The sequence below is a fragment of the Homo sapiens genome, chromosome 6 (genome assembly GCF_000001405.40).
Source record: "Homo sapiens chromosome 6, GRCh38.p14 Primary Assembly".
Classification (NCBI taxonomy): domain Eukaryota; kingdom Metazoa; phylum Chordata; class Mammalia; order Primates; family Hominidae; genus Homo; species Homo sapiens.
The window spans coordinates 151,517,854-151,540,044 of NC_000006.12; the positions used below are offsets into that span (position 1 = coordinate 151,517,854).

General features: G+C 41.0%; 1 protein-coding gene across 4 annotated transcripts in view; it reads left to right on the forward strand.

Moving 5' to 3' along the window:
* The window catches only part of CCDC170 (coiled-coil domain containing 170), a 127,177-nt gene that overhangs the window by 23,837 nt on the left and 81,149 nt on the right, over positions 1 to 22,191 (forward strand). For 2 of the 4 annotated variants that reach the window (NM_025059.4, XM_047419372.1), the window contains exons 2-3: positions 18,465 to 18,593; positions 20,192 to 20,448. In NM_025059.4, coding sequence (NP_079335.2) covers positions 18,465 to 18,593; positions 20,192 to 20,448 — 386 coding nt within the window. Of the gene's footprint in view, positions 1 to 17,083; positions 17,270 to 18,464; positions 18,594 to 20,191; positions 20,449 to 22,191 lie in introns of those variants that run through there. The other 2 variants (XM_011536148.3, XM_011536147.3) reach the window with 2 other exon arrangements.

The window sequence follows — 22,191 nt, forward strand, 5'->3', positions numbered from 1 at the left end:
ATATAATACTCCTGTGCTTCCTCTTATTTTTTCCCTCCTTTAATTTTTCTTTACGGCCATTTGCTTCTTTTTTTTTTTTCATTCTTTCTTGTTTTCACACTGGATAAGAAATAGCCCTTAAGCTTTGGATGGAAATTAAAGGAATTCTCAAAAATCCAGGCCTTTTGCAAACAGTAAAGATTATACGAAACACTAGCAAGGTGGGGCCTTGCCTTCAGTTTATGGTCCTGCCATGGTACAGGAGAAGCATGTCCCAGAACAGCCACAGAGTCCAGAAGAAGGCAACCTTTCTCCTTTTGACTTGTAGTTATGGTATACATCCATGTTTTTTAGTTTGTTAATGCTTCTGGGTGGACCAGGCTGAGATGGAGTGTTGCAAGCTATCTTTCTTAGTGTGGGAAAATCTGTGCACTTTCTAAGCCAGCCCATCTCCAGGGGGTGGGATCTTGGAGAAATCAGGCAGCTCCAGGGGCTGAGGGGATTTGGTTTAGCAGATGAGAATGGGACGAGACTGTCAAGTCAATCAAATGTGAGGACTAAGATGTTAGTAAAAAAAGCATACATTTGTTACCAGGAAGGAGTCCCAATCCAGACCCCCAAGAGAGGGTTCTTGGATCTTGTTCAAGAAAGAATTTGGGTGAGTTCACAGAGTAAAGTGAAAGCAAGTTTATTAATAAAGTAAAGGAATAAAAGGGTGCCTACTCCATAGGCAGAGCAGCCTCGAGGGCTGCTGGCTGGCTATTTTTATAGTTATTTCTTGATTATGTGATAAACAAGGGGTATATGTATCAGGGGAACCAGCCCCCAATATTTCAACGTAGGTTCTTTCTATTTTCCCTAAGGGTCAGGCGGCTGAGAAATAAAGAGAAAGAGTACAGAGAGGAATTTTACAGCTGGGCCTCCATGGGTGACATCACATATCGGTAGGACCATGATGCCCACCTGAGCTGCAAAGCCAGCAGGTTTTTATTAAGGACTTTAAAAGGGGAAGGGGTGTACAAACAGGGAGCAGGTCACAAAGATCACATGCTTCAGAGGGCAAAAAGGAGAATGAAGATCACGTGCTTCTGAAGCCAATAAAGATCACAAGGCAAAGGGCAAAGCAAAGATCACAAGGCAAAGGGCGAAATCAAAAACTCCTGATAAGGGTCTATGTTCAGCTGTGCATGTATTGTCTTAATAAGCATCTTAAACAACAGAAAACAGGGCTCAAGAGCAGAGAATCGGTCTGACCTCAAATTCACCAGGGTGGGATTTTTTTCCCCACCCTAATAAGCCTGAGGGTACTGCAAGAGACCAGGGTGTATTTCAGTCCTTATCTCAACTGCATAAGACAGACACTCCCAGAGCGGCCATTTATGGACCTCCCCCGAGGAATGCATTCCTTCCCCAGGGTATTAATTATTAATATTCCTTGCTGGGAAAAGAATTTAGTGATATCTTCCCTACTTGCATGTCCATTTATAGGCTCTCTGCAAGAAGAAAAATATGGCTCTATTCTGCCCGACCCCGCAGGCAGTCAGACCCTATGGTTGTCTTCCCTTGGTCCCTGAAAATCGCTGTTATTCCGTTCTTTTTCAAGGTGCACTGATTTCATATTGTTCAAACACATATGTTTTACAATCAATTTGTACAGATAACACAATAGTGGTCCTGAGGTAATGTACACTCTCAGCTTACGAAGTTAAGAGGATTGAGAGATTAAAGTAAAGACAGGCATAAGAAATTATAAAAGTATTAATTTTGGGAACTGATACATGTCCATATTAAAATGAAATCTTCACAATTTATGTTCCTCTGCCATGGCTCCAGCCGGTCCCTCCGTTCGGGGTTCCTGACTTCCCGCAACATATATTATTCATGAGTTTTCTAGGAAAGGGATGAGGAATTCCCAGACCGGAGGGTTTGTCTTCTTTTTAGACCATACAGGGTAATAACCTGAAGTTGCCATGACATTTGAAAATCGTTATGCTAGTGGTAGGAGTGTCTTTTAGCATACCAATGTATTATAATTAGCATATAATGAGCAGTGAGGATGACCAGAGGTTACTTTCATTGCCATCTTGATTTTGGTGGGTTTTGGCCAGCTTCTTTATTGCATCCTGTTTTATCAGCAGGGTCTTTGTGACTATACTTTATGATCTCCTATCTCATCCTGTGATAAAGAATGCCTAACCTCTGGGAGATGCAGGTCTCAGCCTCATTTTACCCAGCCCCTATTCAAGATGGAGCCACTCTGGTTCCAATGCCTCTGACACATTCATTCACTTAATTCTACAAATAAGTATTGCATGTTTACATTGTGAGGTCCTGAGTAGGGGAGGGAGGAAGACATTGATTACTTATTAAAAATTAAACACACAGCTTATTCCTTCCCCTTGTGATAAGTGCCAGGAGGGAGAAACAGGGGTTGCTGTGAGAGGAGAACTGAAAGACAGAAATATGGTCAGTGGGAACTGTGATCGGCAAAGATGTACAGACACAGGACCCTGGGCAGACAAATAATGAAACCGCCTTTGCGAAATTATGACTGAGACAGTGAAAGAGATCTAATCTAACTGACTCCATCTTGTTTGTAACCTTTAAGCTGTCCTTGTTCCTTCCTAGGTGTAGGCTGAAATAACTTTGGGAGGAATTTGGTTTAGAGTTTAAAATAAAGATAACAACACTTTCCCAAAACAAACCTCCTTCTTGCCTGGGGACTAGACTGCCTTTGTAGTACTAAGACATTAGCCACAAGATTAGAAATTATGGTTAAGGAGTCATTGCAGCTGGAGGCTACAAGACTCTGACCCTCCCTAAACTGCTCCTAAGATCCATGCTTGAGACATTTTGCAGACCCTGCACTTGATGGATCAGCTGGCATGACCCAGATTGATAAACTGGCCCATCTGATCTTGTGGCCCCCAGCTAGGAACTGACTCAGCACAAGAGGACAATTTCAACTTCCCATCTCTTACTTAACCAGTCAACATTCCTGGTTCACTGGCTTCCCCCCACCCACCAAGTTATCCTTAAAAACTCTGATTCCTGAAGCTCAGAGAGACTGATTTGAGTAATAAGAAAACTCTGGTCTCCTGCACAACCAGCTCTGCATGAATTAACTCTTTCTCTATTGCAATTCCCCTGTCTTGATAAATTGGCTCTGTCTAGGCAGCAGGCAAGGTGAACCCATTGGGTGGTTACAAAAATGGCTTGGGAAGAGTTTAAATTGTAAATATTAGAAGAATGAGAGGATTACTATGAAGGTGTGCATGCTGTTCATTTGCTGATTTTGTTCATTGGCTTCTGATTCCTTCTTACCCTCCCCAGCTGCCTCCTGTTACTCTCTTTATTAAATTGAGGGTGAGCTCTGGTTATAAAGGAGACAGTGGGTTCCATCTTTTGAAAGGATGGGATCCTAAACTGGAGTCTACCTATGCCTGTCCCAAAAAGAGTGTTGAGGACACTCTTGTTATCCTTCTGATAAGTAATGAGAGTTGCTAAGCACTACAGTATAAGATTTGTAATCTGCTGTTAATACTATTTGTTCTGAAAACAAAATTGTGAAAGAAAATAATAAAAATCTAATTGTGGACTTTGTCTCATTGCAAGTATCAGAGGCGTTCAAATCAGAGTAACTCCATCTTGGATAGGGATTGGGTAAAATGAGGCTGAGATCTACTGGGTCACATTCCTAGGAGGTTAGGCATTCTTAGTTAACAGGATATTTACAGTTAAGGGAACAAGTTAATAATGTTTATTGAACAGACCCAGGACTTAAGTGACCCAGGAAATAGACCAAGGAAATGTCTTGATGTCCCACTGTCTTAAGAACAAAAGCATTCTTAGTTTAAGCGTAAGTTTCGGGCCAGGCGTGGTGGCTCACGCCAGTAATCCCAGCACTTTGGGAGGCCAAGGAGGGTGGATCACGAGGTCAGGAGATAGCGACCATCCTGGCCAACATTGTGAAATCCCGTCTCTACTAAAAAAATACAAAAAAATTAGCTGGGCGTGGTGGCAGGCCCCTGTAGTCCCAGCTACTCAGGAGGCTGAGGCAGGAGGACGGTGTGAACCCAGGAGGCGGAGCTTGTAGTGAGTGGAGATCGAGCCACTGCACTCCAGCCTGGGTGACTGAGCGAGACTCTGTCTCAAAAAAAAAAAAAAAAAAAAAAAAATTTGTTGGGCATGTTGGCATGTGCCTGTCATCCCAGCTACTCGGAAGGCTGAGGCAGGAGAATCGCCTGAACCTGGGAGGTGGAGGTTGCAGCGAGCTGAGATTGTGCCATTGCACTCCAGCCTGGGTGACAAGAGTGAAATTCCATGTCAAAAAAAAAAAATTTCACTTTAAAGATAATACTATAGATTCTTGCAGAAGACAGTAGTTACACAAAGATTAACAATCCTTTATTGCAAGGCCTTGTAGAGAACATCTTCCTCATGTTTTTTGCTTTGTTATCTTACATGTAAACAAGCATTGTATCTTGTTAGATATGAGTTCTCAATTTCTTTTCAAAGAATTAATATGTAGTATGTTCAATTCTTTGACTTCTACTTTTAAACTTAACTTCCTTGTAAAGGAACCTTTTTCAATGACCTACTCCACCCTGACTCATTCCGATCACCTGCTCAACCCCAACTCATTCCAATTACCTGCTACCTGCTCTGCCCTGACTGGCGCCAAAGTACTCACCCCGTCATTCTCTTTAAATTAGCCAATGGGAATTAGTTTAGCCTGTGCAGTCTAACCCTAGCCAATAGGAGAACAACACAGCAGCAGGGGCCACGTGCATCAGGGAAAAGAACCCCTTACCCTCCCTTGTCCAAGTGTGCGCTCACCATTGCTCCGTCTTTAAGGGTGCACCCTTCTACAGAAGTAACTTGCCTTGCTGAGAATTAAAAAGAAAATGTTATATTCGAGTGCTATTCCTTTTGTGGCACTGAAACTTTATAACAACCTTGCATATAAACAAGCATCGTATCTTACATAGAAACAAGCATCGCACCTAAGGTGTGCGCATTTCTCTTCTTGCTTTCGAGAATGCCCTGCTCTATCTGCTGTCTAGAGAGTAGCCATTCTTTTATTCCTTTACTTTCTTAATAAGCTTGCTTTTACCTTATTCTGTGGACTTGCCCTGAATTCTTTCTTGCACAAGATCCAAGAACCCTCTCTTGGGGTCTGGAATGGGACCGCTTTCCAGTTACAGTAGAATTGTTATAGGAAGGTTGATTTCTGCTAAAGTGAGACATGGGAAGATTACATACTGCTACAATTTCCCACTTTCTTCTCATGTGTTTACAAAATGGGCCACTGTGGAGGCTCTGTTGCTCTCAGGAGTTTGTGCAGCTGGATGCTATGGATTCTGTCTAACAGAAGAAATGGGTCCTAGAAATGATGAAGCAGCATTATTTTTATTGAGTCTTCTTCAGGCAGAGCTAAGGACACCTTGGAAAATAAAGCAAGGATTTAGTGCATCACAGAAGCTATTTAATTTTCTCTCTGGCATATCCTTTGCTAATTGGAGATGTTTTCCCAGTTAATAAAAGTATTAAAAAAAATTGAATTCTTGGCAGCCAGGCATGGTGGCTCACGCCTGTAATCCCAGCATTTGGGAGGCTGAGGTGGGTGGATCACTTGAGGCCAGGAGTTTGAGACCAGTCTGGCCAATATGGTGAAACCCCGTCTCTACTAAAAATACAAAAATTAGCCAGGCGTGATGGTGCACGCCTGTAATCCCAGCTACTCGGGACGCTGAGGCAGGAAAATCTCTTGAACCCAGGAGGTGGAGGTTGCAGTGAGCTGAGATTGTGCTGTTGTACTACAGCCTGGGTGACAGAGTAAGACTCTGTCTCAAAAAAAAAAAAAAAATCATTGAATTCTTGTTTTAATCCTTGAAGACACTTAATATTTTGGCCAGAACACTATTTATATTCCGTTTATTTTAACAATGAATTTCCTGTCCCAAATGTAGTCAAAATGTGTACTTGCACAACAAAAGCATTGCAAACACTGCTGTGTTACAGACTGGCCAATGCACCACAATGTATTGGTCTCTTTGTGTGAGTTATCACCTGGAGTACTTTGTCTCAGGACCAAGAGAATTAAAGGGTGAGGTTGGAGCGAAAGTTTAATAAGCGAAAGGAGAAAGCTCACTGCAGGGGAGAGGGGATCCAGAAGAGGGTTGCTGGTTTTTGCAGTTGAATGCAAAGGCTTTTGTAAGAAACCGATGAGGGCTGGGCATCTCATTTGCATAAGGTGCAAATTTCTGGTAGCTCCACCCTGACCTCCTAGTGCACATGTGGGCGCTTAGCTTAAGTTACTCCATATTGCTTTGTTCTCCTTACTATGCATGTGTTAGGGGATGGAATTTTCCATTGCAGGCATGTCTGGGCAAGCCCCCCTGTGCAAGTTCCCTTATCTGTGCCTGCAGGCTGTTCTTCAGTTCGAAAGAATTCATCTGAGGACCCACCCTAACTGTCTGCCTGACTAGTTTCTTCCTTTCTCCTCTCTCAGCTGGAACTCAGTGATTCTCCTTTTGACTTCTACTTTGACCATGCAGGGGTCCAAGTTCAGGATTTCCTGTGGCCTCTGAAGCCAATAAAGAATTCATGAACATGGAATTCACAAACAGTTTTCAGATTCTTGAAGGCTGCAATATATGAATATTAGGATGTAAAACTGAAAACCTAATAAATTGGACTTTTAAAACATGCTTCCAGTTGTCTTTTACTTAATTAAGAAATTGATTTTAATACTAAAATTATAGTCACTTTTTCTTTAAAAATTAGAACATTACAAATGAAGCTACAGTTTCCATTGACAACCACCTCTAATCTTGATCATCTTCTCCCATTGTTCAGAGGTTATTATGATGTAAGTTTGGTGAGTGTCCTTCAGACCATTAAAAATACTTTTTTCATTTCATTTCAATGTGCCTATACACATTGTGCCTATACACAAAAGTTTGGTATGTACTTTTAAGACATAAATGGTGTCATACTGTTAGTTTTGTTCTCTAATTTACTTTATTTAAAAAACAGTATGTTTTTGAGATCTATTTATCTCCAAATAGATCCAAATGGATTTAGTCTGATTCTTTTTTTTTTTTTTTTTTTTTGAGACGGAGTCTCACTCTATTGCCCAGGCTGGAGTGCAGTGGTGCAATCTCGGCTCACTGCAAACTCCGCCTCCCAGGTTCACGCCATTCTCCTGCTTCAGCCTCCCTAGTGGCTGGGACTATAGGTGCCCGCCACTGCACCCAGCTAATTTTTTGTATTTTTAGTAGAGACAGGGTTTCACTGTGTTAGCCAGGATAGTCTCAATCTCCTGACCTTGTGATCCGCCTGCCTCGGCCTCCCAAAGTGCTGGGATTACAGGCGTGAGCCACCACACCCAGCCTAGTCTGATTCTTTTAACTGCTTTGGAGATTTCCATTTATGAATGTACTATATGTCAGGCCTCTGAGCCCAAGCTAAGCCATCATATCCCCTGTGACCTGCACGTATACATCCAGATGGCCTGAAGCAACTGCAGAACCACAAAAGAAGTGAAAATAGCCAGGTCCTGCCTTAACTGATGACATTCCACCATTGTGATTTGTTCCTGCCCCACCCTAACTGATCAATTGACCTTATGACAATACACCCTCCCCACCCTTGGGATAATGTACTTTGTGATATTTCCCCACCCTTAAGAAGGTACTTTGTAATATTCTCCCCACCCTTGAGAATGTACTTTGTAAGATCCACCCCCTGACCACAAAAATTGCTCCTACCTCTACCACCTATCCCAAACCTTTAAGAACTAATGATAATCCCACCACCCTTTGCTGACTCTCTTTTTGGACTCAGCCCGCCTGCACCCAGGTGATTAAAAAGCTTTATTGCTCACACAAAGCCTGTTGGGTGGTCTCTTCATACAGATGTGCATGACACTATAGTTAACTAATTCATGTATTGATGGACACTTACAAAACATGAACATGCATATAAAATTAGAAGTAGGACTGTGGGTCACAGGGTATATGCCAAAGTGTCCCCTACAGTGGCTGGGACATTTTATATGTCCCTTCATTAAGAATACTTTAAATTTGTTTTTATTTATTATACAGGAAAGAAAAGTGTCTCCTGCAGTAGCTGGGACATTTTACATATCCCTCCATTAAGCATACTTTAAATTTGTTTTTATTTGTTATACAGCAAAGAAAAGCAATCATTGCTTCCAGATCTGGTACCAGTCCTTCCTTCCTTCCTTCCTTCCTTTCTTCCTTCCTTCCTTCCTTCCTTTCTTCCTTCCTTCCTTCCCTCCCTCCCTCTCTCCCTCCTTCCCTCCTTCCTTCTCTCTCTCTCTCCTCTCTCTCTTTCTTTCTTTCATCTGTCTTCTACTTGTTTTCTTTTTCTTTTTTTTTGAGATGGCGTCTCTCTCTGATGTCCAGGCTGGAGTGCAGTGGCATGATCTTGGCTCACTGCACCTCCACCTCCTAGGTTCAAGTCATTCTCCTGCCTCAGCCTTCCTAGTAGCTGGAACTACAGGCATGCGCTACCACGCCCAGCTAATTTTTGTATTTTTTGTAGAGATGGGGTTTCACCATGTTGGCCAGGATGGTCTCAATCTCTTGACCTAGTGATCCGCTTGCCTTGGCCTCCCATAGTACTGGGATTACAGGCATGAGCCACCCCGCCTGGCCTTTTTTTTTTTTTTTGAGATGGAGACTCGCTCTGTCGCCAGACTGGAGTGCAGTGGTGCGATCTTGTCTCACTGCAAACTCCGCCTCCTGGGTCCAAGCGATTCTCCTGCCTCAGCCTCCTGAGTAGCTGGGATTATGGCGTGAGTCACGGCCCCTGGCCTTCTACTTGTTTTCTGTCCAGCAATATAATTCCCATTTTAGGCCTTAATTGCCTGATTTTTAGGTGAGGGAATAACAGGACTGTTTTGTGAAGAGTGAAAGTTTTTCTAAGTGCAGCCCCTGCCCACTCAATGAAAAGAAGACTCAGGGGAGCAAGAGTGTTAAGAATATTTTAGAATGCTGCCTTCACTTCAACAAGGATGTTGAATTAGAAGAATTTTTTTTGAGACAGGGTCTCACTCTGTCACCCACGCTGGATTGCAGTGGCACCATCATTGTCACTACAACCTCTGCCTCCCAGGCTCAAGCAATTCTTGTGCCTCAGCCTCCTGAGTAGCTGGGACTAGAGGTGTGCACCACCATGCTTAGCTATTTTTTTTTTTTTTTTTTTTTTTTGCATTTTCAATAGGGTTTTGCCATGTTGGTCAGGCTGGCTACGAACTCCTGGCCTCAAGTGATCCACCTGCCTCAGCCTCCCAAAGTGCTGGGATTACAGGTGTGAGCCATCGAGCTTAGCCATATTAGAAGGATTTTTAACTGAATAAGAGTAACACCCAAGAGAAAAGAGATGGAAAATAATGTAAAAACAATATGATCAGTTTTTTCACCGTACTTGATTTTATGCAGAAATGTCTTCTTCCAAAACTTTTCCCACAAATGCTAAGGTATAGATGCTCAGATATATTTTCTGGATCTCACAGCTGCCACACTCTCCTCTGCAGGCTCTAGTGGGCCCCAGAAACCACGAGCAGATAGAAGAAGGAAGAAAACCAGGAGGGCCAGGAAAGTCCTCCCAAGTGGGGAGAATTGGCAAATAGTCAAAAATTGACAGGATGAATGATAACATTGGAGAAATGCAACTTTCAAGACTTAATGTATACACTGTAAATTAGGGAAGAAACTTTATGTAGTGAGAAAAACATGGACAGTAGGGGAGAGCTTCTTAGAAGGAGTTGCTTACTGGGCACCACTGGAAGCTTGGTGGGGGCGTGGGGAGAAAGAGAGGGAGAGAGAAATAGAAAGAGAGAGAGGGAGAGGTAGAGAAGAGACAGGCACAAGGAGGCATTCCATAATGGAAGAGCCTGCGGTAATACAATTGTGCACTGCAGCATGGGATAATGCTGGGACAAAGAGTAGATTGGTTATGGGATAGAATGATAAGAATGGAATGGATTTAGGAGCTTTTGTGTGTTAGGGGCAGGCAGTGATTTTCTTCTTATTTTTTCGTCCGTGGGATAATAAGACAACTAAATACCATAGTAGCAAGACTGGCCCAAGACATTGTCCCCAGGTCAGATAATTTGGCACATTGTATACTAAATTATGAATAAGCTTATCTTTGCTTTATGCCATTGAGCTTTGAAACCACCCTTTATTCTGAAAAGACTGTGAGCCACCCCGTGAGACAATTTCAATCATTATCATAATAATATCAGTAGCAGAATCAAATCATATGTAGTTGGCTCTCTAAAACTAATCTAAAATTGCTTCATGGGTTAGCTGAGAGGTACCTAATAACTTAGATTGTCCTCAGGTGAGGACAAATGGATGAGTTTTTATTTAATCTTGCCATTTTAAATAGGGGAAAAATTTTTTTAAGGGAAGATTGTTTGATACAGGAAAAGTTGAAGAATTTTCAGAAAATTTTATGAACTCCAGGAGGGCTGAATTAAGAGAGAAAACCCCCAAAATGTCAGCTTTCATATCTGTTCAAGTCTATGTTACCTATGGTTGTTTCTTTGTCATCACCTTCTTCATAAAGACACAGCATAGCAGGGTTGGTGATTTTTGTCTGTCCTTGTCTCTTTTTTTAAATTTAAGAGGGAATGTTCTAATTGTGAAGGTAATACAGTTATTGTAAAGGATTTGTAAATATAGAAGCATAGGTGGGGTGTGGTGGCTCATGCCTGTAATCCCAGCACTTTGGGAGGCTGAGGCGAGTGGATCAGTTGAGTTCAAGACCAGCCTGGACAACATGGTGAAACCCCATCTCTACTAAAAATACAAAAATTAGCCAAATGTGGTGGCGCATGCCTGTAGTCCCAGCTACTTGGGAGGCTGAGGCAGGAGAATCGCTTGAATACAGGAGGTAGAGGTTGCAGTGAGCCAAGATCGTGCCACTGCACTCCAGCCTGGACAACAGAGTAAGACTCTGTCTCAAAATATATATATATGTATATATAAGCATATAATAAAGAAAAAAAAAGTCTACCTTACAACCAAAAGATAACCATAGTTAACACTTATTCCCAGTGTTTTTCTTTTCTTTAAATTATATTTAGTTGTACAAATAATGAGTAAATACATCCTTATTGAAAAAGTCAAACCACTGCGCCTCTCACCACAACTCCAATTGTCGTGTCACCCTCAGGGGTAAGTACTGTTATCAGGTGATGGGGATTCTGTAAAATTCTTTTTTTTCTTGTCTCTAAATATATTTATAGACAAAAACACAATACTTTTCCTCCTGCATGTGTTTTATGAAAAACAGTAACAAACAATGAATTTATATTATCTTATTTTTGTTCAGTGATGTCTTAAGGATATTACCATGCCAAAGCATACAGATCTATCTCATATTACCTGTTGCATAGGATTCAATAGTATAGAAATATTTTTATTTGATAATTGCTTTGTCAACAGGAATTTATGGTTTCAACATCCTCATCCTTCTTGCTGCTATTACTAATAATTGTATTCCTGGGCATAGTGACTCACACCTGTAATCGCAGCACTTTGGGAGGCTGTGGTGGGAGGATCACGAGGTCAAGAGATCGAGACCAGCCGGGCCAACATGGTGAAACCCCGTCTCCACTAAAAATACAAAAATTAGCTGGGCATTGTGGTGCATGCCTGTAGTCTCAGCTACTCGGGAGGCTGAGGCAGGAGAATCGCTTGAACCCGGGAGGCGGAGGTTGCAGTGAGCTGACATAGAGCCACTGCACTCCACCCTGCTGACAGAGCTAGGCTCTGTCTCAAAAACAAAAACAAAAACAAAATAATGGTATAACGAATATCTTTATACATATCTCTATGCACATGTATGAGTATTTTCATAAAGGAGATAATTGGAGAGTGGAGCGGCAGTGTCTTAGTCCAGTTTCTGTTGCTATAACAGAATACCACAGACTGAGTAATTTATGAGGAAAATAAGTTTATTCCGTTCATAGTTCTAGAGACTGGGAAGTCCAAAAGCATGGTGTGGTGTCTGGTGAGGGTCATCCCACGGTGGAAGGGTAGAAGGGCCAGAAAGCATGAGTGAGAGAGAACTTTATTTTATAACAAAGTCACTCTGGTGATACCTAACCTACTCCCAGAATAACAGCATCAACCCATTTATGAGGATTAATGTATCAGGACCTAATGACATTTTTCTCCAAAAATATAATTTTTAATTACTGAATATAATTTCATTGTGTGACTGTATCAGTATTGTTTTTTCTTTATATTAACATTCTTTTATTTTTGAACTCTAGTTGTTTTAAATATTTGCTATGGCAGATTTTTTGAAAATGTTGCTAAAGAGTACCTTTCTGAATATTTTTGTGTTTAATTTTTGGGTTTATTTCCATTTCTTTTGATAAGATCATGAGAAAGAAATTCACCAGGACAAATAGTGTTAACTTTAAAAATTTTTTAATGATACATATTGCCAAATACTTTTCTGGAAATTTTGTACCAGTTTATCTTTATTTGAGCAGTGTATTAGCATGTCTTTCTTATAGAACTATCTTTTCATATGATTAATAATGATAATAATAATAATTATTATTATTATTTTGAGACAGAGTCTCGCTCTGTCAGCCAGGCTGGAGTGCAGTGGCGTGATCTTGGCTCACTGCAACCTCTGCCTCCTGAGTTCAAGTGATTCTCCTGCCTCAGCCTCCTGAGTAGCTGGGATTACAGGCATATGCCACCATGCCCAGCTAATTTTTGTATGTTTAGTAGAGACTGGGTTTCACCATGTTGGTCAGGCTGGTCTTGAACTCCTGACCTCATGATCGGCCTAGCCTCCCAAAGTGCTAGGATTACAGGTGTGAGCCACTGCACCTGGCCAATATGCTTAATTATTAAATATATTTAAAATGTTGCTAGTTTTAAAGATCAGAAATAATAATTAAATTTATATTTAATTGATGATGAGTGAGGTGGGACATTTCTCATTTTATTAGCCATTTATGGCCCTTCTGATAATTGTTAGTTCTTCTATAGATGTTTTCTCTTAGGTCATTGGTTTTCTTACTGGTGTGAATAGGCTCTTTGCATATTAAAGTTTTGATTCTTTGTATTATTTCTGGAAATATTTTTCCAGTTTGCTCTTTCACTTTAAATTCTGCTTACACATTTAAAAAATTTGTTGTCATCTGTGCACTTTTTCTTGAATGTTCTTGCATTGCTTTTGTGCTTAGAAAGTCGGCTATGGCTTTCATGTTTGTGTTGTTCCTCCAATTCATATGCTGAAATCCTTACCTCCAAGAAGATGGTATTAGGAGATGGGACCTTTGGGAGAAGATGATTAGGTTATGAGGGTGGAGGCTTCATGAATGAGATTGAAAAAAGAAAGCTTAGAGCTGTACTTACACATTATAAACCAAATAAATTTAAGATAGACTTAAAGCACTGAATATAAAAAATAAAATCAGGCCAGGCATGGTGGCTCACACCTGTAATTCCAGCACTTTGTGAGGCCAAGGCAAGCAAATCACTTGATGCAAGGAGTTCAAGACCAGCCTGGTCAACATGGTGAAACCCTGTCTCTACCAAAAATACAAAAAATTAGCCAGGTGTGGTGGCACATGCTTGTAGTCCTAGCTACTCGAGGGACTGAGGCAGGAGGATCAACTGAACCCAGGATGTCAAGGCTTAAGTCTACCATAATGTTTAGGGGGAAAACCCAAATACATTCCTATGAAAGTTAGGAACAAGACAAAATGTCCGTTATTGCTATTAATGTTTAACAATGTGTTATTAGTTTTTATGCTGCTAATAAAAACATACCCGAGACTGGGTAGTTTATAAAGGAAAGAGGTTTATTTGACTCACAGTTCAGCATGGCTGGGGAGGCCCCAGGAAACTTACAATCATGGCAGAAGGGGAAGAAAATACATCCTTCTTCACATGGCAGCACAAGGAGAAGTGCAGAGCAAAAGGATGAAAAGTTCCTTATAAAACCATCAGATCTCATGGGAACTCACTACTATGAGAACAGGGGTAACTGCCCCCCATGATTCAATTACCTCCTGCTGAATCCCTCCCACAACTTGTATGTTTATGGGAACTACAATTCAAGATGATATTTGAGTGGGAACATTAGATTTGAGTGGGGACACATCCAAACCATATCAAATGTTCTGGGGTTATTAACCAATGCAATTAGTCAAGAAAAGGAATAGAGGTATAAAAATTGGAAAGAAGAAGGTGAAATTTTCATTATTTACAAATGATTTGCATGTTTACAGTGCAAAACCCAGGAGAATCTATTGAAAACAATCCCAAACAATAAGAAACATAAAAAAGATATTTAGGTACATATTTAATATATAGGAATAAGTAGACCCCATTTACAATATGACAAAAAGATAATATTTTTAGAGATAAACTACAAAATATAGTAAATCTAAATTGCTAATAAGAATAAGACTTCTTGGCTGGGCACAGTGGCTCATGCCTGTAATCACAGCACTTTGGGAGGCCAATGTGGGTTGATCACTTGAGGTCAGGAGTTCGAGACCAGCCTGGCTAACATGGTGAAACCCTGTCTCTACTAAAAATACAAAAATTAGCCAGGTGTCATAGCACATGCCTGTAATCCCAGCTACTCGGGAGGCTGAGGCAGGAGAATTGCTGGAATCTGGGAGGTGAAAGTTGCAGTGAGCCGAAATTACGTCACTGCACTCCAGCCTGGGTGAGAGGGAGACTCTGTCTCAAAAGAAAAAAAAAAAGAAAAAAAAAGAATAAGGCTTCTTGAACAAATGAGAAAAATGATTTTAGTTGGAAGCCTCAACATTTAAAACATATAAATTCTCTATAGTTTATTTATAAAATTAACATGACCCCAGTAACAATATCGACAAAATTTTTTGGAATTTTCCAAGAAGATTTTGAATTTCATATGGGAAAATGAATATGTAAGAATAGCCAGGGTTATTCAGAAAAATAAGTCCTACCAGATACAAAATATATTAATGACCTCAGAGCTGCCTTTTAAGCCCTGCTGCCACTATTTTTTGTCTGTGTTTGTCTGTAGGCATCGCTGCTTTCTCTCAGATCCTTGCCTGCACGGGCCAGATCCCTGCCGCAGGGCCCTTGCATGGCCTTTTTGCTATTTGAATGATGTGGGCAGCTCCTGCTTCAATACCTCTTGACTATTTCTCTTTTTTTTTTTTTTTTTTTGAGATGGAGTCTCGCTCTGTCACCCAGGTTGGAGTGCAGTGGCACGGTCTCGGCTTACTGCAAGCTCCACCTCCCAGGTTCATGCCATTCTCCTGCCTCAGCCTCCCGAGTAGCTGGGACTACAGGCGCCCGCCACCACACCCGGCTAATTTTTTTTTATTTTTAGTAGAGACGGGGTTTCACCATGTTAGCCAGGATGGTCTCGATCTCCTGACCTTGTGATCTGCCCGCCTTGGCCTCCCAAAGTGCTGGGATTACAGGTGTGAGCCGCCGCACCTGGCCGACTATTTCATTCTTATTTAATCATCACTTCTGGCTGGGCGTAGTGGCTCATGTCAGTAATCCCAGCACTTTGGGAGGCTGAGGCAGGCAGATCACCTGAGGTTGGGAGTCCAAGACCAGCCTGACCAACATGGAGAAACCCCATCTCTACTAAAAATACAAAATTAGCAGGGCGTGGTGGCACATGCCTGTAATCCCAGCTATTCGGGAGGCTGAGGCAGGAGAATCGCTTGAACCTAGGAGGTGGAGGTTGCAGTGAGCCGAGATTGTGCCATTGCACTCTAGCCTGGGCAACAAGAGCGAAACTCCATCTCAAAAAAAAAAAAAAAAATCATCACTTCTTTAGGGAACTCTTTCCTTCCACCTCCTTCATCTGAAGTCATTTTCCTTTGTTAGCTGCCTTTTTGCCTTCCTTGCATTTATTTCATTTTGTAATTACACAATTCTAAGTGTGGTTGTTTGATAAATTCTCTTTCCCTTTTTAGACTGTCAGCTCATTGCCTGATCCAGAGTAGGCTATCAGTAAATACCACTTGGTGGACAATCTCCAGTCTGTTGGACTCTGAGGGTGATTTAGATTCAGCACCTACCTTCTAAACTCACTCATCAAAAGAGCTCTCCAAATGTAGTCCCTACTCCAGTGTTAAGGGAATAATATCTTAATACACAGCTTCTTTTCTTTCTTTCTTTTCTCGTTCATTCATTCATTCATTCCTTTTTTTTTTTTTTGAGACAGGGTTTTGCTCTGCTGCTGAGGTTGGAGTGCAGTGGTGCGATCACAGCTCACTGCAGCTTGACCTCCTGGGACTCAAGCCTTCCTCCCACCTCAGCCTCCCAAGTAGGTGGGACAACAGGAACATGCCACCACGCCCAGCTAATTTTTTGTAGAGATGGGGTCTCACTGTTGCACAGGCTGGTCTGGAACTCCTGGGCTCAAGTGATCCTCTTGCCTCATTTTCCCCAAACACTGGGATTACAGGCCTGAGCCACTGCACCTGGTCTAGCTTCTTTTCTTAAAAAAAAAAAAGATGTTAGTCATTGAAAGAAATAATCAAATAATCATAGCCATTGGGAAACTTATTTTCCTAATAAATTTTATAAAATGGTATGCCATACATACTATAGGTGAAATCTCTTATAAGTGACGTATGTCCTCATATGGCCTAGTTTAGAAAATATGGTGTGGTGGTCAGGGTGGAGAAGACCCTCCGACTATTGAATGAGTCTGAACAGGATGTGGTTCTCTAATAAGAGATTCAGTTAAACTTCTTATGCTTTTTCCCCAGAGTACATATCTACCATTTTCTTGGTTGTGCTATGATTGGCAAACAGTAGCTATTACTAAGAGCTCCGAAGGTTTTGTTTGGCATTTTGTGGACTGAATCACACTGGTCATGACGCTTGTTGGAAAGTTATGAGCTTTAAGAAGACTTTTGCATTCATGACTATATCAAACAGTAGTTGCTGGTAGTGGAGTAGTCTCTGGCAGTCTTAAATAGATTTTATCGCTGAGCCTCCTGAGGCCATTTAAATACTCCAGGAAATCCTCCTTTATGTGACCTCTTTTGTATTCCTTCAAAAATGAATGGCTTTCTTCTGTGTCTTTCACAAAGACCACAGGCCTTGGAAACTCCATAGAGGTGGTGTAGATATCCAACCTCAGTAATAATTCTTGAAGGAAGCAGGCATATGGCATGAGTCAGATGGAAACAGGACCAGAGGGTTCAGTCTGCAGCCCACAGGCCAAACCCACCAAATCTGCTCTGCAGGTGTGTTTATTTGATTCATATGTGTTTCTTTTTTAAACATTTAAATCAGTTGCCAACCTGCAAAAACTGGGAATTTACACTTCAAAAAGTCTGGATATATGACTTGTCTTGAAAAACTGGAATGATTTGGAATTGGAAATTCCAAAATTGGAGTGGTTTGGCCAGGCTGGAAATCCTTATTTCTGTATCTGCAACCACCAGTGGAGCTGAGACCTGTTCCCTTCCAGATGGGCAGGGGCTGTCCATGTGTGACACTGCCATCTCTCGTCTCACATGTTCATTTCAGTTGCCTTCATGATTCATGGATATGAGATTATGAGATTGAGAATATGATGGTTATGAGGTTATGAGACTGAGTATAAAAGGCATAGTGAATAGTTACAAAGGAGACAGCCTTTTACATTTATATCACATGATCTGTTTGATAAATAAATGAGACACTTTAATCAACAGACAAGAAATGAGCTGATCATCTTTGTGATCTGGACAAAGAAAAATAACGAAAACTGTCCCTCGTTACACAGGATGTAGCATTGTTCTTCTCTGATAATTCTTTGTTGAGTCTATTGATTCTGGGCAGAGGTCAAATACCATTTGAGTCGGGTGGAAGGAAAATCTTTTTTTGTTTTTTTGTTTTTAGAGGCAGTCTCTCTCTCTCTATTGGCTGGGCTGGGGTGCAGTGGTGCAATTATAGCTCACTGAAACCTCAAATTCCTGGGCTCAAGTGATCCTCCTGCCTCAGCCTCTCAAGTAGATAGGACTACAGGTCATGACACCCTGCCTGACAAATTAAAAAAAATTTTTTTTCTTTTTGTAGAGATAGGGTCTTGCTGTCTCTATCTGGTCAGGCTGGTCTGGAACTTCTGGCCTCAAGCAATCCTCCTGCCTTGGCCTCCAAAAGGGCTAGGAGTATAGATGTGAGCCAACACACTCTGCCATAGGCCAATTCTTAAATGACAAACCTCATCACCATCCTGGAGGAGCACATCATTTGTTCCCGAACTTTCTCCTGCTTCCCTTTGAACTTTGAGAATGAGAACCAAATGGTCTGAACATAACACTTCTCTGCGTAGCATGTTTGACATATTTGGAATACAAAGAATGCTTCTGCCTTTAATCTGGCTTTGTGCAGCTGCACGGAAAAGATCGTTTAACACTCTTCTTTATATTTTGTATTTTGGGGGAATTCTACCAGGAAACTTACGATCATCTTTCGGAAGTCCCGGTCACGCGGGAGCAGTTAAACCACTATCGGAATGTGGCTCAAAATGCTCGAAGTGAACTTGCAGCAACTTTGGTCAAATTTGAATGTGCTCAGTCTGAGGTAAGATAATGCATTTCCAGCACTCAGAAATGGGCCTTCTTAGCTTCTTATAAAATGAAACAGATCACGCCTGTAATCCCAGCACTTTGGGAGGCTGAGGCAGGCAGATCACGAGGTCAAGAGATCCAGACCATCCTGGCCAACGTAGTGAAACTCTGTCTCTACTAAAAATATAAAAATTAGCTGGGTGTGGTAGTGAGCGCCTGTAGTACCAGCTGCTCGAGAGGCTGAGGCAGGAGAATCACTTGAATCCGGGAGGTGGAGGTTGCAGTGAGGCGAGATCACAGTACTGCACTCCAGCCTGGTGACAGAGTGAGACTCCATCTCAAAAAAAAAAAAAAAAAAAAAAAAAGAAAAAGAAAAAGAGACAGAATGTAGGAGTGATTAGAAATAGGACAGTGGGATATAGATTTAAGGCTTTTGGCAAAGTTGAAACTTGTTCTCTTGTGCCTATCCCCTAGAATTCCTGAAAAGTTATGCATTTGCCAGATTGTAAAGCTAGGTGGCTTGGGCTGAATTCTGGATCTCAGAGGAGCTATACAGCCTTGAGAGATCTGGGGGCGCCTGAAGATGTTAAGTAAAGCTCCATGGGCCTCAGAGAAATTTAGCATCTCTCAGAATATCTTCCTTTAATGTGGGTTGCTTGCAATCTGGAGTTCTTAAGAGGGAATTCTGAATCCCTTTCCTGTGGTAGTTCCAACTGGCTGGGGAAATTCTAGGAAGAAGAGTGGGATCCATCTACCCTGTAGGCTAGCTCGGGTTTAGAGTGGAGTTTCTGAGAGTCTTCCTAAACTCATTCTGCTTATAGCCTGGTGGCCCCAAGGAGTTCTAGACTGGCCTGTGATTTCTCACTAAGGCTGCCAGGACCCCATAGAACGATGAGTTGATAATGTGTGTGTGAATAAATGTATGTATGCACACTCACAGTTCCAAAGAAGTAGATGCTTTCATAACTTTTTCTCATAGGGTAGATCTGACATTTTAACTCAATAGGGCACATATATTGTTCAGCATTTCGATATCACAGAACTCATAAAAGTTAAAATGTTCTCTTTATATAAATCCTATAAGGGTTTTTCTTTTCTCCTATGTTTTTTTTCCCAGAAATTTAAATGTTATTTTTATTTATCACTCACAGTTAGAATCCAGGAGATAAGTGTGAGAAATATAGTGATATACTGAGTAGTCTGTATTTAAGTGAGGAACAGTTATGGCTGTGAAATCACAGATCATATGGTTTGTAGGTTCCTTGTCTGACTGTTTATCAGCAGCAATAATAGCAATACAGATTTAGAAAATGTGGACCATTGCAAAATATTTTATTGCTTATGCAATCAACATCATAAATGTCTCCTGAATGAGACTAAACAACATAAGACATTGCTCAATTGGTTTTGGAAAAGATAGAATATAAAGTCCATTATTTAGGCATAATTTCTCATTTGGTAATACAGATACAAATATTAGAAAAAAAATAAAGTTAGATTAAGTCATGAATAAAAGAGTGAACATTTAAATGATGGCTTTGGGTTTCTTAAAGATAATTCAAACTTATGTTGTTAAGGTTTTTTTTTTTTTTAACTTCTTTTCCATGTTAGCTTCAAGACCTCCGATCCAAGATGCTTTCTAAAGAAGTCTCCTGTCAAGAACTGAAAGCTGAAATGGAGAGCTACAAGGAAAACAATGCCAGAAAATCATCTCTCCTTACCTCTTTGAGAGACAGAGTTCAGGAACTAGAAGAAGAATCAGCAGCACTTTCCACTTCTAAAATCAGAACAGAAATCACAGCTCACGCTGCAATCAAGGAGAACCAGGAATTAAAGAAGAAAGTTGTAGAGTTAAATGAAAAATTACAGTAAGGATACTGCAATATATTTTTCGCTTTAGCTAGCATTAAAATACTAGCTTCTGATAGCAAGATATGTCTTTGAAAGTACTGGCATTTTGCATTACTTGGCCCTTAAACTCAATTTGAAAAAAAGTTATTGACCTCAAATATCTTTGGAGTCTTGACAAATTTTTCCAAGGCTCATTTCTAAATGTCATCAAGAGTCTTAACAAATACAGCCTTGTCTTAAGCATGTTTATAGCCTATCAATTAGGGCTGCAAATGCTTATTTACACAATTTCGAAGATTTCTCTAAGTAGAGTTTAACCCTGAGCTTGTGGGGTAGTACACAGAGGTAGGTATTTATTTAGTAGCCAGTTATAAAAATATCCCAGAAGCTAGACCACTCCAGATCACACTGAACATTCCTCATTAGATTTTATTGCTAGTTTATGCAGAGAACTCATGAAACCTAGGTTTTCCACACTTCATTCTGACAAGAGGTGATTATTGAGACAAAATTGGGAATGAGTTGTTCCTAAAATATATTTTAAAATTCTACGAATGAGTTAAATATCTTTAGTAACAAAATACATGGTATTTATTTTACTTATTTCATCTTAAAAAAATAACCCAATACTTCCAGCCCCTGTCCTCTTTCTCTACTTCCACTTACAGCAAAAACTCCTTAAACATTGTATGTATGGCCGGGCATGGCGGCTCACACCTGTAATCCCAGCACTTTTGGAGGCTGAGGTGGGCAGATCACTTGAGGTCAGGAGTTTGAGACCAGCCTGGCCAACATGGTGAAACCCCGTCTCTACTAAATACAAAAATTAGCTGGGCGTGGTGCCAGGTGCCTTTAATCCCAGCTACTCGAGAGGCTGAGATAAGAGAATTGCTTGAACCTGGACAGGTGGAGGCTGCAGTGAGCTGAGATCACACCACTGTACTCCAGCCTGGGCAACAAAGAGAGACTCTGTCTCAAAAAAAAAAAATGTTGTATGTATTCATGGTCTCCAATTTCTCTTCTCTCTCTGGAATCTGCTCCACTGAAACCACTCATTAAGGTCATCAGTGAGTGCACAGTGCAAGTTAAATGGTCAGTCTTATCTTACCTGACCTATCAGTAGCATCAGTTACAGTTGATCTTTTTCTTTGAACCGTTTTCTTCTTCTCTTGGCTTCCAGGACTTTACACATGCCTAGGTTTTTTCTTTTTCTAATCTTACCTTGCTAGCTAGTGTCTTTCACTGTTTCTCCTCATCTCTTTGGCTTTCAAATACTGGAGTACCTCAGGGATCAGCCCCTGAATCTCTTCTCATTTGTGTCTAAATTTACTCTCTTGGTGATATCATTTAGTTTCATGGCTTTAAGAATCTAAATGCTGGTGACTCCCACATTTCTGTGTCTAGCCTGGATCTCTTCCCAGAGCTCAAGAACCACATATCTTACTAGCTACTGTATATCTCCATGTGGATCTCTGACAGGCATCTCAAACTTAATGTGTCCAAAACGGAGCTCCCAGTGTTCCCACAAAATCCTTCTGTACTTTTCCTCATCTCATGTGATCATAATTCCATTCTTCTAGTTGATCATTTCAAAATTCTTGCTATCAAACTTGGTTCTCTTTCTCTTTCACCCTCCATGTCTGATTCTTCAGCAAATCCCATCATATCTATCTTCAAAACAAATCTAAATTGTGTCAGTTTTCCATTATCACCTTTATTGTCACTAACTTGGTCCAAGCCACCATTAACTCTCACCTGGA